Consider the following 16,859-nt stretch of genomic DNA (forward strand, 5'->3'; position numbering starts at 1 on the left):
TTATAGTTTCCAATATAAATGGCCATTTTCAGCAAATTTTAGCAAGGAACAAAATTTCATTTGAGACTGAAATTTGGCATCCCTTTGCCTCTTCATGCTGGGAACTATTTTTTGTCTTTACAAAATGCAATGAGACATAAATCTTTTTGCTTTTATTTCTAAATGATACTACACCAAGCCGAAAATGCACTGGGAAAATAGGAATGCCTCCAAGCTCGGGCCAGCCTTTGCAATCCTAATTCATAGTGCGTGCTGTTATACCAGGGAGAAATCAGATCAGGGTCCTATAAAAATGTGAGGCTATTTTTAATTGTATGTACTCACTTCCAATCCCATTCCTCTCCCTGCAAATTTCGTTTTACCCTGGCACTCCTAACTAACTACATTGCCACCCACAAAGAAGCCTGGTACACTCAACAGCTAACACTTGATTTGACACCATTTAGGAGGCTGGCAACTCCAAAAGCATATGGAATATTCCAGATGGATTCCCAGGGACATTTGGCTCCAGGTTTCTCATGTTGGGGAACACAGTTGGCACATGGAGCAGGCCAGTTCTTTATTGCATCCCATCCGAGGCAAGATGTTGGTTGTCCCTAGACCCCTGACATTACATGCCAGTTGATGCCTCCCAGTCACTGTGACAAGTAAAAGTACACCTCCCCCAGTTCTGAATGTAACCTTTGGGGGACCCGATTCACTTTGGCTGAGAACCACCAGGAGGATTTAAAACTTTTTGCACAAAAATTAACAGGGCATGGTTGGGCATGCCTGTAATCCCAGCTACTCGGGAGGCTGAGGCAGGATAATTGCTTGAACCTGGGAGGCAGAGGTTGCAGTGAGCCAAGATCGTGCCACTGCACTCCAGCCTGGGTGACAGAGCAAGAGTCTGTCTTCAATAAATGAGTGGGGTTCCAAGATGGCCGAATAGGAACAGCTCTAGTCTACAGCTCCCAGCATGAGCGAGGCAGAAGATGGGTGATTTCTGCATTTCCAACTATGGTACCGGGTTCATCTCACTGAGGCTTGCCAGACAGTGGCTGCAGGACAGTGTGTGCAGCCCACGGAGTGTGAGCCAAAGCAGGGCAAGGCATCGCCTTACCTGGGAAGCACAAGGGGTTGAGGAATTCCCTTTCCTAGGCAAGGGAAGCCATGACAGACCTGGAAAATCAGGTCACTCCCACCCTTATACTGCACTTTTCCAACAGTCGTAGCAAATGGCACACCAGGAGATTATATCCTGCACCTGGCTTGGAGGGTCCTACCCCCATGGAGCCTCGCTCACTGCTAGCATGGCAGTCTGAGATCTAACTGCAAGGCGGCAGCAAGGCTGGGGGAGGGGCACCTGCCATTGCTGAGGCTTGAGTAGGTAAACAAAGCAGCAGGGAAGCTCGAGCTGGGTGGAGCCTACTGCAGCTCAAAGAGGCCTGCCTGCCTCTGTAGACTCCACCCCTGGGGGCAGGGCATAGCTGAACAAAAGGCAGCAGAAACTTCTGCAGACTTAAACATCCCTGTGTGACAGCTTTGAAGAAAGTAGTGGTTCTCCCAGCATGGAGTTTGAGATCTGAGAATGGACAGACTGCCTCCTCAAGTGGGTCCCTGACCCCCGAGTAGCCTAACTGGGAGACACCTCCCAGTAGGGGCTGACTGACCCCTCATATGGCCGGGTGCCCCTCTGAGACCAAGCTTCCAGAGGAATGATCAGGCAGCAACATTTGCTGTTCTGCAATATTTGCTGTTCTGCAGCCTCCGCTGATGATACCCAGGCAAACAGTGTCTGAGTGGATCTCCAGCAAACTCCAACAGACCTGCAGCTGAGGGGCATGACTGTTAGAAGGAAAACTAACAAACCGAAAGAACATCCACACCAAAACCCCATCTGTATGTCACCATCATCAAAGACCAAAGGTAGATAAAACCACAAAGATGGGGAGAAACCAGAGCAGAAAAGCTGAAAATTCTAAAAATCAGAGCGCCTCTTCTCCTCCAAAGGAATGCAGCTCCTTGCCAGCAACGGAACAAAGCTGGACAGAGAATGACTTTGACGAGTTGAGAGAAGAAGGCTTCAGATGATCGGTAATAACAAACTTCTCCAAGCTAAAGGAGGATGTTCGAACACATTGCAAAGAAGCTAAAAACCTTGAAAAAAAGATTAGACGAATGGCTAACTAGAATAAACAGCGTAGAGAAGACCTTAAATGACCTGATGGAGCTGAAAACCATGGCATGAGAACTATGTGATGCATGCACAAGCTTCAGTAACCAATTCGATCAACTGGAAGAAAGGATATCAGTGATTGAAGATCAAATGAATGAAATGAAGCGAGAAGAGAAGTTTAGAGAAAAAAGAGTAAAAAGAAATGAACAAAGCCTCCAAGAAATATGAGACTATGTGAAAAGACCAAATCTACGTCTGATTGGCGTACCTGAAAGTGATGGGGAGAATGGAACCAAGTTGGAAAACACTCTGCAGGATATTATCCAGGAGAACTTCCCCAATCTAGCAAGGCAGGCCAACATTCAAATTCAGGAAATACAGAGAATGCCACAAAGATACTCCTCAAGAAGAGCAACTCAAAGACACATAATTGTCAGATTCACCAAAGTTGAAATGAAGGAAAAAGTGTTAAGGGCAGCCAGAGAGAAAGGTCGGGTTACCCACAAAGGGAAGCCCATCAGACTAACAGCGGATCTCTTGGCAGAAACTCTACAAGCCAGAAGAGAGTGGGGGCCAATATTCAACATTCTGTTTTTTTTTTTTGTTTTTTTTTTGAGACGGAGTCTCGCTCTATTGCCCAGGCTGGAGTGCAGTGGCGTGATCTTGGCTCACCACAAGCTCTGCCTCCCATGTTCACACCATTCTCCTGCCTCAGCCTCCTGAGTAGCTGGGACTACAGGTGCCTGCCCCCACGCCCGGCTATTTTTTTGTATTTTTAGTAGAGACAGGATTTCACCATGCTAGCCAGGATGGTCTCGATCTCCTGACCTCATAATCTGTCCACCTTGGACTCCCAAAGTGCTGGGATTACAGGCATGAGCCACCATGACTGGCCTCAACATTCTTAAAGAGAAGAATTTTCAACCCAGAATTTCATATCCAACCAAACTAAGCTTCATAAGTGAAGGAGAAATAAAATCCTTTACAGACAAGCAAATGCTGAGAGATTTTGTCACCACCAGGCCTGCCTTACAAGAGCTCCTGAAGGAAGCACTAAACATGGAAAGGAAGAACTGGTACCAGCCACTGCAAAAACATGCCAAATTGTAAAGACCATTGATGCTAGGCAGAAACTGCATCAACTAATGAGCAAAATAACCAACTAACATCATAATGACAGGATCAGATTCACACATGAAAGTATTAACCTTAAATGTAAATGGGTTAAATGCTCCAATTAAAAGACAGACTGGCAAATTGGATAAAGAGCCAAGACCTATCAGTGTGCTGTATTCAGGAGACCTATCTCACATGCAGAGACACACATAGGCTCAAAATAAAGGGATGGAGGAAGATCTACCAAGAAAATGGAAAACAAAAAAAAAGCAGGAGTTGCAATCCTGGTCTTTGACAAAACAGACTTTAAACCAACAAAAATCAGAAGAGACAAAGAAGGCCATTACATAATGGTAAAGGGATCAATTCAACAAGAAGAGCTAACTATCCTAAATATATATGCACCCAATACAGGAGCACCCAGATTCATAAAGCAAGTCCTTAGAGACCTACAAATAGACTTAGACTCCCACACAATAATAATGGGAGACTTTAACACGCCACTGTCAACATTAGACCAATCAACGAGACAGAAAGTTAACAAGGATATCCAGGAACTGAACTCAGCTCTGCACCAAGCGGACCTAATAGACATCTACAGAACTCTCCACCCCAAATCAACAGAATGTACATTCTTCTCAGTACCACATCACACTTATTCCAAAATTGACCACGTAGTTGGAAGTAAAGCACTCCTCAGCAAATGTAAAAGAACAGAAATTATAGCAAACTGTCCCTCAGACCACAGTGCAATCAAATTAGAACTCAGGATTAAGAAACTCACTCAAAACTGCTCAACTACATGGAAACTGAACCACCTGCTCCTGAATGACTACTGGGTACATAATGAAATGAAGGCAGAGATAAAGATGTTCTTTGAAACCAATAAGAACAAAGACACAACATACCAGAATCTCTGGGACACATTTAAAGCAGTGTGTAGGGGGAAATTTATAGCACTAAATGCTCACAAGAGAAAGCAGGAAAGATCTAAAATTGACATCCTAACAACACAATTAAAAGAACTAGAGAAGCAAGAGCAAGCACACTCAAAAGCTAGCCGAAGGCAAGAAATAACTAAGATCAGAGCAGAACTGAAGGAGATAGAGACACAAAAAACCCTTCAAAAAATCAGTGAATCCAGGAGCTGGTTTTTTGAAAAGATCAACAAAATTGATAGACTGCTAGCAAGACTAATAAAGAAGAAAAGAGAGAAGAATCAAATAGACGCAATAAAAATGATAAAGGGGCTATCACCACCAATCCCACAGAAATACAAACTACCATCAGAGAATACTATGAACACCTCTATGCAAATAAACTAGAAAATCTAGAGGAAATGGATAAATTCCTGGACACATACACCCTCCCAAGACTAAACCAGGAAGAAGTTGAATCCCTGAATAGACCAATAACAGGCTCTGAAATTGAGGCAATAATTAATAGCCTACCAACCAAAAAAAGTCCAGGACCAGACAGATTCACAGCTGCATTTTACCAGAGGTAGAAAGAGGAGCTGGTGCTATTCCTTCTGAAACGATTCCAATCAATAGAAAAATAGGGAATCCTCCCTAACTCATTTTATGAGGCCAGCATCATCCTGATACCACAGCCTGGCAGAGACACAACAAAAAAAGAGAATTTTAGACCAATATCCCTGATGAGCATCGATGCAAAAATCCTCAATAAAATTCTGGCAAACCGAATCCAGCAGCACATCAAAAAGCTTATCCACCATGATCAAGTGGGGTTCATCCCTGGGATGCAAGGCTGGTTCAACATACGCAAATCAATAAATGTAATCCAGCATATAAACAGAACCAAAGACAAAAACCACATGATTATCTTGATAGATGCAGAAGAGGCCTTTGACAAAATTCAACAGCCCTTCATGCTAAAAACTCTCAATAAATTAGGTATTGATGGGACGTATCTCAAAATAATAAGAGCTATTTATGACAAACCCACAGCCAGTATCATACTGAATGGGCAAAAACTGGAAGCATTCCCTTTGAAAACTGGCACAAGACAGGGATGCCCTCCCTCACCATTCCTATTCAACATAGTGTTGGAAATTCTGGCCAGGGCAATCAGGCAGGAGAAAGAAATAAAGGGTATTCAATTAGGAAAAGAAGAAGTCAAATTGTCCCTGTTTGCAGAAGACATGATTGTATATTCAGAAAACCCCATCGTCTCAGCCCAAAATTTCCTTAAGCTGATAAGCAACTTCAGCAAAGTCTCAGGATACAAAATCAATGTACAAAAATCACAAGCATTCCTATACACCAATAACAGACAAACAGAGAGCCAAATCATGAGTGAACTCCCATTCACAATCACTTCAAAGAGAATAAAATACCTAGAAATCCAACTTACAAGGGATGTGAAGGACCTCTTCAAGGGGAACTACAAATCACTGCTCAGTGAAATAAAAGAGGACACAAACAAATGGAAGAACATTCCATGCTCGTGGATAGGAAGAATCAATATCGTGAAAATGACCATACTGCCCAAGGTAATTTATAGATTCAGTGCCATCCCCATCAAGCTACCAATGACTTTCTTCACAGAATTGGAAAAAAACTACTTTAAAGTTCATGTGGAACCAAAAAAGAGCCCGCATTGCCAAGACAATCCTAAGCCAAAAGAACAAAGCTGGAGGCATCACGCTACCTGACTTCAAACTATACTACAAGGCTACAGTAACCAAAACAGCATGGTACTGGTACCAAAACAGCATGGTACTGGTACCAAAACAGAGATGTAGACCAATGGAACAGAACAGAGCCCTCAGAAATAATACCACACGTCTACAACCATCTGATCTTTGACAAACCTGACAAAAGCAAGAAATGGGGAAAGGATTCCCTATTTAATAAATGGTGCTGGGAAAACTGGCTAGCCATATGTAGAAAGCTGAAACTGGATCCCTTCTTTACACCTTATACAAAAATTAATTCAAGACGGATTAGAGACTTAAATGTTAGACCTAAAACCATAAAAACCCTAGAAAAATCCTAGGCAATACCATTCAGGATGTAGGCATGGGCAAGGACTTCATGTCTGAAACACCAAAAGCAATGGCAACAAAAGCCAAAATTGACAAATGGGATCTAATTAAACTAAAGAGCTTCTGCACAGCAAAAGAAACTACCATCAGAGTGAACAAGCAATCTACAGAATGGGAGAACATTTTTGCAATCTACCCATCTGACAAAGGGCTAATATCCAGAATCTACAAAGAACTTAAACAAATTTACAAGAAAAAATCAAACAACCCCATCAACAAGTGGGTGAAGGATATGAACAGACACTTCTCAAAAGAAGACATTTATGCAGCCAAAAAACACATGAAAAAATGCTCATCATCACTGGCCATCAGAGAAATGCAGATAAAAACCACAATGAATTACCATCTCATACCAGTTAGAATGGCGATCACTAAAAAGTCAGGAAACAACAGGTGCTGGAGAGGATGTGGAGAAATAGGAACACTTTTACACTGTTAGTGGGACTGTAAACTAGTTCAACCATCGTGGAAGACAGTGTGGCAATTCCTCAAGGATCTAGAACTAGAAATACCATTTGACCCAGCCATCCCATTACTGGGTATATACCCAAAGGATTATAAATCATGCTGCTATAAAGACACATGCACACATATGTTTATTGCGGCACTATTCACAATAGCAAAGACTTGGAACCAACCCAAATGTCCATCAATGGTAGACTGGATTAAGAAAATGTGGCACATACACACCATGGAATACTATGCAGCTGTAAAAAAGGACGAGTTCATGTCCTTTGTAGGGACATGGATGAAGCTGGAAACCATCATTCTGAGCAAACTATCGCAAGGACAGAAAACCAAACACCACATGTTCTCACTCATAGGTGGGAAATGAACAATGAGAACAGTTGGACACAGGAAGGGGAATATCACACACCAGGGCCTGTCGTAGGGTGGGGGGAGGGGGAGGGGGGAAGGATAGCCCTAGGAGATATACCTAATGTAAATGACGAGTTAATGGGTGCAGCACACCAACATGGCATATGTATACATATGTAACAAACCTGCATGTTGTGCACATGTACCCTAGAACTTAAAGTATAATAATAATAATAAAAGAAAATTATTTTTATTCATGTACAAAATGGAGTACTATTCAGCCATCAAAAAGAATGAGATCCCATCATTTGCAAGGACATGGGTGACTGGAGGTCATTATGTTAAGTGAAATAAGCCAGGTACGGAAAGATACATGTCACTTGTTCTCACTTACTTGTGGAATCTAAAAATCAAAACAATTTAAGTCATGGAGATAGAAAGTAGAAGGATGGTTACCAGGGGATGGGAAGTATAGTAGGAGGCCGGGGTGGGGGAGGTGGGGATGGTTAGTGGGTATAAAAAAATAGAATGAATAAAACCTAGTATTTGATAGCACAAGAGGGTAACTATAGTCAGTAATAATTTAACTGTACATTTAAAAATAGCAAAAAGTATAATTGAATTGTTTGCAACACAAAGGATAAATGCTTGAGGTGATGGAAATCCCATTTACCCTGATGTGATTACACATTGCATGCCCATATCAAAACATCTCATGTAACCCATAAATATATACACCTACTATGTACCCACAGAAATTAAAAATGAAAAATAAAAAAAGGTTCAATCCACCCAAAAAATAATAAATAAATAAATCAAACTTTTTGCAGGCATCTCAAGATGAAGGTTTCCTATTTGTGATTATGAAAAAAATGTCAAGAACAAGTCCCTTGGTGTTCTTAGACCAAAGTCAGAACAACAGACCTAGTAAGTATTCTCTCAGCATTCATTACATGTTAGCAACCTTCAAAGCAGTTTGTGTTCCCTCATATGGTCCTCCATGAGGTAAGTATCAGAGCTATAGTAAGATCTATTTAACAGTGAGACCCAAATGTGTCCCAAGACCACTCAGGATTGCCCTGGTAACCCTGAAGCTCGAAAATCCCTGAGATCAAGACTGAAGGAGTCTGTGTTGTTCCTCCCGCATGCTTCTTCCTTGCATGTCCCTTTTTCTTCCCTTTCTGTATCCTTTCTTCCCCATCTTTAATTTCTTCATTTCCAATGGTTTCCTGCGTCTTTACAAAATCACTTAATCTGTGGAAATAAACTGAATTTTCTATTTGCTGGTTACAGCATTAAACAATAAAAGCTAGATGGGTATTCACCAAATTTAGAGGGTATAGTTTGGAATATTTGGTCATCTAGTTTCTGTAGAGTTGATGAAATTCATTTTGTGGTGGTGGCAGGGACCTGAGAGAGATGGACTGTGATAACTCCAGTGTGGCTAAAACAGGTTCAAGAGGAAGCCTGTGTGACTGTCAATCAGAGGAGGGATGGTTCATATCAGGGTGACATGGTCAGAGTAACAAACAGTGCTTTCAAGGCAAGCTCTGATTCAAAAGCCACAAGGGCGGATGCGGGGAGGCCAGGAGCTGATCTGCAGTTGAGCTCCTTCTTCGTGGGCAACTCTATGTGGCATCCTCCAGTGAAGGCATCAGGAATCTCTTTATTTAATAATGTTTAATGATTCTCCTGTGCAAATGTGTATTAGGGCCTGCTCTGTAATTGTGGGATGGGGTGGAGGGATAAGTAAGAAATGACCCCAACTCTCTAAAATTTCACATCCTGGCAGAGCAGACTGAAGCACAAATAGTATCAAGCCCTTTATAATAGAGCAGGGGTTCTCAGTTTGGGCACTATTAACATTTAGGGTAGAATACTTTTTTTTTTTTTTTTTTTTTTTGAGACGGAGTCTCGCTCTGTCGCCCAGGCTGGAGTGCAGTGGGGCGATCTCCGCTCACTGCAAGCTCCGCCTCCCGGTTTCACGCCATTCTCCTGCCTCAGCCTCCTGAGTAGCTGGGACTACAGGCGCCCACCACCACGCCCGGCTAATGTTTTGTATTTTTAGTAGAGATGGGGTTTCACTTTGTTAGCCAGGATGGTCTCGATCTCCTGACCTCGTGATCCACCCGCCTCAGCCTCCCGAAGTGCTGGGATTATAGGCGTGAGCCACCACGCCTGGCCTAGAATACTTTTTTGTTGTGGGGACTGTCCTGGGAATTGTACAATATTTAACAGCATCCCTGGCCTCTACTTACTAGATGCCAATAGCATTCCCCTGGTCTTGAAAATCAAAAATGTCTTCAGATGTTGTCAAATATCCTCTGGGAGTAAAATTACTAGGTCATGTGTACGCCAAGTCCACTGGCTCCAAGCCCAGGACAGCACCAGGAGTTGCCCAGGAATTGCAACCTTTGTAGCTTAGACTGCCTTTCAAGTTTATTTAGGACCCAGAGCACTTTAGCTCGTGGTGGTGAGGCTAGCCAGAATTTAAGTTCTGACCCTGGGATGAACAGTTTGCCTCTGGCTAGGACTCATCTAAATGCCGCCTTCATCTATGTTGGGTGAGTTTCTGTCAAGTGTTGCTTTCCGCTGTGACAGGGCTACACTGAGTTCCAATGCAAAACCCCATCATCACTGCACTCTGCCTCCTCCAGCACACACATTCTCTCTCAATGCCATGTGGCCACTGTGGGGGGAGACAGGTGGGGTGGTGTAGGCAATTCAAAACTGTCTCTCCTACCATCTTCAGTGCCTCTTTCCTTGATATGATATTAAAATTGGGCACTGCGATTACTCAGATGAGTTTCAGTCCTTATGAAGGTGTTTTCTTATGTGGATAGTTGTTCAATTTGGTTTTCCTCTGGGGAGAGGCGGGATGATCGCTGGAGAGTTCTATTTGGCCTTCCTTCTTCCTTTCTTGAGAGAAGGTGCTCTGAGCTTAAATTATGCTAATATATGAATGCAGAGAGAAGAGAAAGAGCAGGTGCAATGAGGCAGTGAAAGCCTGAAATTAGCCGCAAGAAGGGTAAAAAGTGCAGTAATTCAGTAGAGGCTGAGAGTAACTGAGTCATCACAAAGCCAGGAGCACGGGAGAGCACAGAGCATGCCGGCTTTGGAGACACAGGTCCCAGAGCCATTACAGCATCCACAGGGCTCCTGTTGGATAAGTTGCATCTCCTTTGATCAGGGGTGTGAGGCAACTTCTATTTCCTTCCTTACCTTTGTATTCTTACAATAAACTCGAATACCTCCGGTAACACAAGCACATACCTGTGCCTCCTACCAAGAAAATAAATACCTCGATGACGTCGGGTTGTATTATATAATTGTGGGGAAGAACAGAAGGGAAAAAGGAGAGACATTAGCTCACTTTTTGGGGAAAATCCTTGCTTTGCTGAGGTGGGTAAAACATTTAAAAGTTAATCTGTTAAAGGAACTGGAATTCTCTGGGCACATGCCAACCCGCAGCTGAGACGTGGTCTGGAATTGTGTGACTAAGTAAAATGGTTCATAGGAAAAGGTTTGCCTCTGTGTCAACAGGCAGATGATTCGTAATTCATCAAGATTTAGCCAAGACAATAAGAGAAATATATGAGCATTGCAAAGGACTCATCTCAGGCATCACCTTCTCAGGGGAAGACTCTTCTAACACCCTTCTTCCCTGCGCAAGACCTAGTGTCATCCCATTCCTCCAGGGCCCGTAACACTCCTGATGCACTTCTCTCTTTGATCATACTGCATCGGATGGTACTCATCTATTTACTCATTTCTCTTCACTGGGCTATGGGATCCCTGGAGGCAGGGACTATGTTTAATACGTCTTGATATCCCCAGCCACTAACCAATGGCCTCCATATAGTAGGCACTCAATAAATTGTTGAGTGAGTAAATGAGCAAATTCACTCCTACAGTTTACCTCACGTACTTTTTAAGGAGGGGAAAAGAATCCATTTTAACTCGAGTATAGGTTTTCTTTCCTGAAGAGCATATGGATAAAGGACAGCTACTGATTTCTTCAGAGGGAGAAAAATGATAGAACAGGCCTCCATGCTATATTTCAAACTCATGTCAAGTTTTCTTTTAAAAAAATGTCTGTCCACCAGCAGTCATATCATTTTTCAAATTTCATGTCGTCCATTTTCTGAGGCTGCCCATCTGTCATTTTACGCAGAGAGTATCCATCATGATAGAAGCTAAATAATTTTCAAAGCCGTCAAGGAATGGACACAAAAAAGGTCCCCATTTCATCTGAACAAAGTTGTCCAAGGCTGGCGGTGAGGATATGACTGGGAAAGGACAGATGGCACCCTGGGAGTGCCTCTCAAATTGGTTCCAAATGGAACAAAGAAAAAATTCATTTGAGAAACTAGACTTCAGTCCTTCATGTTTTATGTTACACATGCACCTATCAGTACCATAATTAGGTAAGAGTTTATTTAGAGCAAGTGTGTCTGTAAAAATAAAATTCATTTTTTCTAATGATTATGTTTTTCTTTAAACATAGTTATGTATATAGTTTTTTCTAATTTTAATCTTAAGAGTGAATCATATTTATTTGCCGAATACAGAAAAGTGTAAGGTGGAAAGTAAAAATCACATATTATTGCATTACACAGAAGTAACCATTAATACTGTTATTTTTGATGCATTTTTTAGTCACATACACATGTTTGTACACACACACAATGTATATATGCATATTTATATATTTTGAGACAGTTTTTATATATAATATATATAATAAAATATATAACATAATTATATAATATATAAATATAATATATTATAATATATAATATATAAATATAATATATTATAATATATAATATATGTTATAAATATAATATATATTATAATATATATAATTATGTTATATATTATAATATATATAATATAATAACATAATTATATATAATATATTATATAATTATATATATATATTTTTATATATATAATATATTATATAATATATTATATATATACAATATATATTATTATATATATTATATATATAATATATTATATAATATATTATATATATTATATATAATAATATATTATTATATATATTATATATATATATTTTGAGACAGAGTTTCGCTCTTTTTGCCCAGGCTGGAGTGCAATGGCACAATCTCGGCTCACTGCAACCTCCACCTCCCCAGTTCAAGTGATTCTCCTGCCTCAGCCTCCTGAGTAGCTGGGATTACAGGTGTGTGCCACCACACCTGGCTAATTTTGTATTTTTAATAGAGATGGGGTTTCACTATGTTGACCAGGCTGGTCTCGAACTCCTGACCTCAAGGGATCCACCCACCTTGGCCTCCCAAAGTGTTGGGATTACAGGCGTGAGCCACCACACCTGGCCTATTTGAGTATATATATGTGTGTGTGTGTGTGTATATGTGCATAAACTGTAGTATTATTTACAATTTTGGTATTATATTCTTTATGGAATTTCATATCCTGCTTTTCTCACTACATTATATCTTAAATTATTTTTTATGCCATTAAGTATTCTGGGAAACATGATTTTTTTTTTACTTCAAATGTTCACGTTCTTTTTGATTTTTAAAATTTTATTTTTTAATTGACAAGGAATAATTATACATATTCATAGGGCACATAGTGATTATACATATTCATAGGGCACATAGTGATGTTTCGTTATGTGTAATGGATAGTGATCAGATCTGGGTAATTGGCATATCCATCATCTTAAACATTTATCACTTCTTTGCATTGGGGATGTTCAATATCCTCCTTCCAGCTATTTGAAACTATAATATATTATTGTTACCTATAGTCATCCTGTAGTGCTATAGAACACTAGAATGTATTCCTCCCATCTAGCTATACTTTTGTATCATTTAACAATTCCCTCCCTATTCCCTCATCCCCCTACCCTTCACAGCCTCTTGTATCTTCTGTTCTACTTTTTACTTCTATGAGATCAATTTCCTTTTTTAGCTTCCATACATGAATGAGAACATGTGGTGTTTAACTTTCCGTTTCTGGCTTATTTCACTTAACATAATGTCCTCCAGTTCTATCCATGTTGCTGCAAATGACAGGATTTCATTCTTTTTTATGAATGAATAGTATTCCATTGTGCATATATACCACATTTTCTTTATCCATTCATCTGTTGTTAGACACAGGTTGATTCCCTATCTTGGCTATTTTGAGCAGTGCTGCCATAAACATTGGAGTGCAGCTATCTCTTTGATTTAATGATTTTCTTTCCTTTGGATAGATTCCCAGTAGTGGAATCATATGGTAGTTCTATTTGTGATTTTTGAGGAAGCTCCATACTGTTTTCCATAATGGCTGTACTAGTTTACATTCCCACCAGCAGTGTATAGGAGTTCTTTTTTACTCTGAATCTTTGCCAGTATTTGTTATTTTTTTTCTCTTTTTGATAATAGCTATCCTACCAGGGGTGAGATAATACCTCATTGTGGTTTTCGTTTGCATTTCCCTGATAATTAATGATGTTGAGCATTTTAAAATACATTTGTTGGTCATCTGTGTATTTTCTTTTGAGAAATGTCTGTTCGGATCATTTGCTCATTTTTAAATTGGATTGTTTGTTTTTTTTTTTTGCTGTTGAGATGTTTGGATCCCTTGTAAATTCTGGACATTAATTCGCTGTGAGATGAGAAGTTTGCAAATATTTTCTCCTATTTTAGAAGTTGTTTTTTCACTATGTTGTTTTCTCTTCTTTTGGAAGCTTTTTAGCTTGATATAATCCCTTTTGTTTATTTTTGCTTTTGCTCTCTGTGCTTTTGAGGTCTTAATTCATAAAATATTTTTTCTGACCAATGTCTTGAAGTGTTTCCCCTGTTGTTTTCTTTCAGTAGTTTTATTGTTTTGAACTTTATATTTAGGACGTTGATCCATTTTGAGTCCATTTTTGTATAGAGTGAGAGATGGGGGTCTAGTTTTATTCTTTTGCACATGGATCTCTGGTTTTCCCAGCACCACTTATTGAAGAGACTGTCCTTTCCCCCAAATGAGTGTTTCGGTACTTTTGTAAAAAATCAGTTGGCTGTAGATATGTGGATTAATTTCTGGGTTCTCTGTTCTGTCCCATTAGCCTATGGATCTATTTTTATGTCAGTACCATGCTATTTTGTAATATATCTTTAGGTCTGGTAGTGTGATACCTCCAGCTTTGTTCTTTTTGCTCAGGATTCCTTTGGATATTCAGGATATTCTGTGGTTACATCCAAATTTTAGATTTTTTTTTCTATTTCAGTGAAGAATATCATTGGTATTTTGATAGAGATTACATTGAATCTATAGATTGCTTTGGGTCATTTTAACAATATTAACTCTTTTGATAAATGAGCATGGAATATTCTTCCATTTGTATCATCTATAATTTCTTTCATCAATATTTTACAGTTTTCATTGTAGAGGTCTTTTACCTCATTGGTATTTAATTTCCTAGGTATTTAATTTTTTAGTAGCTATTTTAAATGGGGTTACTTTCTTGATTTCTTTTTCAGCTAGTTGTTTGTGTATAGAAATGCTACTGATTTTTTTTATTATACTTTAAGTTCTGGGATACATGTGCAGAACATGCAGGTTTGTTACATAGGTATACACATGCCATGGTGGTTTGCTGCACCGATCAACCCATCATCTACATTTTGTACAATAATTTTATATACTGCAACTTTACTGAATTTGTTTATCAGTTCTAGTAGTTTTTTTGGTGGAGTTTTTAGTTTTTTCAAATATAAGATCATATCTTCAAACAAGAATAATTTGGTTTCTTTTTTCCTAATTTGGATGTCTTTTCTTTTTTTCACTTGCCGAGTTGCCCTGGTTATAACTTCCATGCTATGTTGAAAGACTGGCGAGAGTGGGCATCTTGTCTTGTTGTAGTTCTTAAAAAAGAAGCTTTCGGCATTTCCCTATTCAGAAACATATTAGCTATAGGTTTTTCATGTATCCATTTATACCTAATTTATTAAACATTTTTATCATTAAGGGATGTTTGAATTTTATCAAAAGATTTTTCTTCATCTATTGAGAGGATCATACGGTTTTAGTTCTTTTTTCTACTGATGTGATGTACAATGTTTATTGACTTGTATATGTTGAACCATCCTTGCTTCCTAGGATAAATCCCACTTGATCATGGTGTGATACCTTTTTGATGTACTGTTAGATTAGGTTTGCTAGTATTTTTTTGAGGGCTTGTTCATCTATGTTTATCAGGAATATTGGACTGTAGTTTGCATTTTTAAGTTTGTGTTCTTGTCTGGTTTTGATATCAGGTTTATGCTGGCCTTGTAGGATGAGTTAGGAAGAGTTTCTTCTGCTTCATTTTATAGAATAGTTTGAGAACTGGTGTTAATTCTTCTTTAAAGTTTCAGTAGAATTCAGTGGTTAAGCCATCTGGTCCTGGACTTTTTTGTTGGAAGACTTATTATTACTGGTTCAATCTCGTTACTTGTTATTGGTGTGTTCAGGTTTTCTATTTCTTCTTGGTTCAATCTTGCTAGGTTGTATGTGTCCAGGAATTTATCTATTTCCTCTAAGTTTTCAAATATGTTAGTGTATAGTTGTACATAGTAGTCTCTAGGGATCCTTTATATTTCTGTTGTATCTGTTGTGACATCTTTTTTTGCTTTTGATTTTATTTTGGTATTCCCTTTTTTCATAGTCTAGCAAATTGTTTATTTTATTTATCTTTTTAAAAAACTGACTTCTTGTTTTGTTAATCTTTTGTAAGTTTTTTAGTTTCAGTTTTGTTTATTTTTGTTTTGATATTTATTATTTTTTTATTCTGCTAATTTTAGGTTAGGTTTGTTCTTGCATTTTTAGTTCCTTGAGATGCATCAAGTGGTTTATTTGAAATAGTTCTAATTTTTTATGTAGGCATTTTTTGCTATAAATTTGCCTCTTAATACTGCTTTTGCTGTATCTCATAGGTTTGGGGATACTGTGTTCTATTTTTATTTATTTCAAATAATTTTTAAATTTCATTCTTTATTGCATCCTTCACCCATTGGTCATTCAGGAGCATGTTGTTTAATTTCCATGTATTCATATAATTTTGAATTTTCATCTTGTTATTAGTTCCTAGTTTTATTACATTGTAATCAGATAAAATATTTGATATGATTTTAAGTTTTTAATTTTTCTTTGAGACTTGTTTTGTATCCTAACATATGGTCAATCCTGAAGAATGGAGTGTTGTAGTCACCAAATATTATTGTATTGGGATCTATTTCTCCCTTTAGATCTAATAATATTTGCTTTATATATCTGGGTGCTCCAGTGTTGGGTGCATATATATTTATAATTGTTATATTCTCTTGCTGAATTGATCCCTTTATTATTATTTAATAGACTTCTTTGTTTCTTTTTACAGTTTTTGACATGAGTCTGTTTTGTCTGATATAAGTATAGCTACCTCTGCTTACTTTTGGTTTCCATTTGGGTGGAATATATTTTTCCATTCCTTTATTTTCAGTCTATGTGTGTCTTTACATGTGAGGTGAGTTTCTTCTAGGCAGCATATAGTTGGGTCATGTCTTTTATCCATTCAGTCAGTCTTTATCTTTTAAATGGGGAATGTAATCTGTTTACATTCAAGATTATTATTGATAGATGAGGGCATACTCTTGTTATTTTACTGATTGTTTTTTAGTTGTTTTGTATATCCTTCATTAC

General features: G+C 38.7%; 1 long non-coding RNA gene across 4 annotated transcripts in view, besides 1 other annotated feature; it reads left to right on the forward strand.

Annotated features, from left to right (window-relative positions):
* The window catches only part of LOC105372666 (uncharacterized), a 483,513-nt gene that overhangs the window by 331,395 nt on the left and 135,259 nt on the right, over positions 1-16,859 (forward strand). For all 4 annotated transcript variants that reach the window (XR_007067652.1, XR_001754670.2, XR_001754671.2 and 1 more), the window contains one exon: positions 7,994-8,090. This is a non-coding gene — a long non-coding RNA (uncharacterized LOC105372666). The remainder of the gene's footprint in view (positions 1-7,993; positions 8,091-16,859) is intronic.
* Positions 10,068-10,632: an enhancer, noted in NCBI's record as "OCT4-NANOG hESC enhancer chr20:51168644-51169208 (GRCh37/hg19 assembly coordinates)". NCBI's record gives its function as "activates a minimal SCP1, AML or CMV promoter by ChIP-STARR-seq in primed H9 embryonic stem cells {active_cell/tissue: H9 hESC(primed)}" and the evidence as "EXISTENCE:reporter gene assay evidence [ECO:0000049][PMID:30033119]".

This window comes from Homo sapiens, chromosome 20, assembly GCF_000001405.40.
Source record: "Homo sapiens chromosome 20, GRCh38.p14 Primary Assembly".
Lineage (NCBI taxonomy): Eukaryota > Metazoa > Chordata > Mammalia > Primates > Hominidae > Homo > Homo sapiens.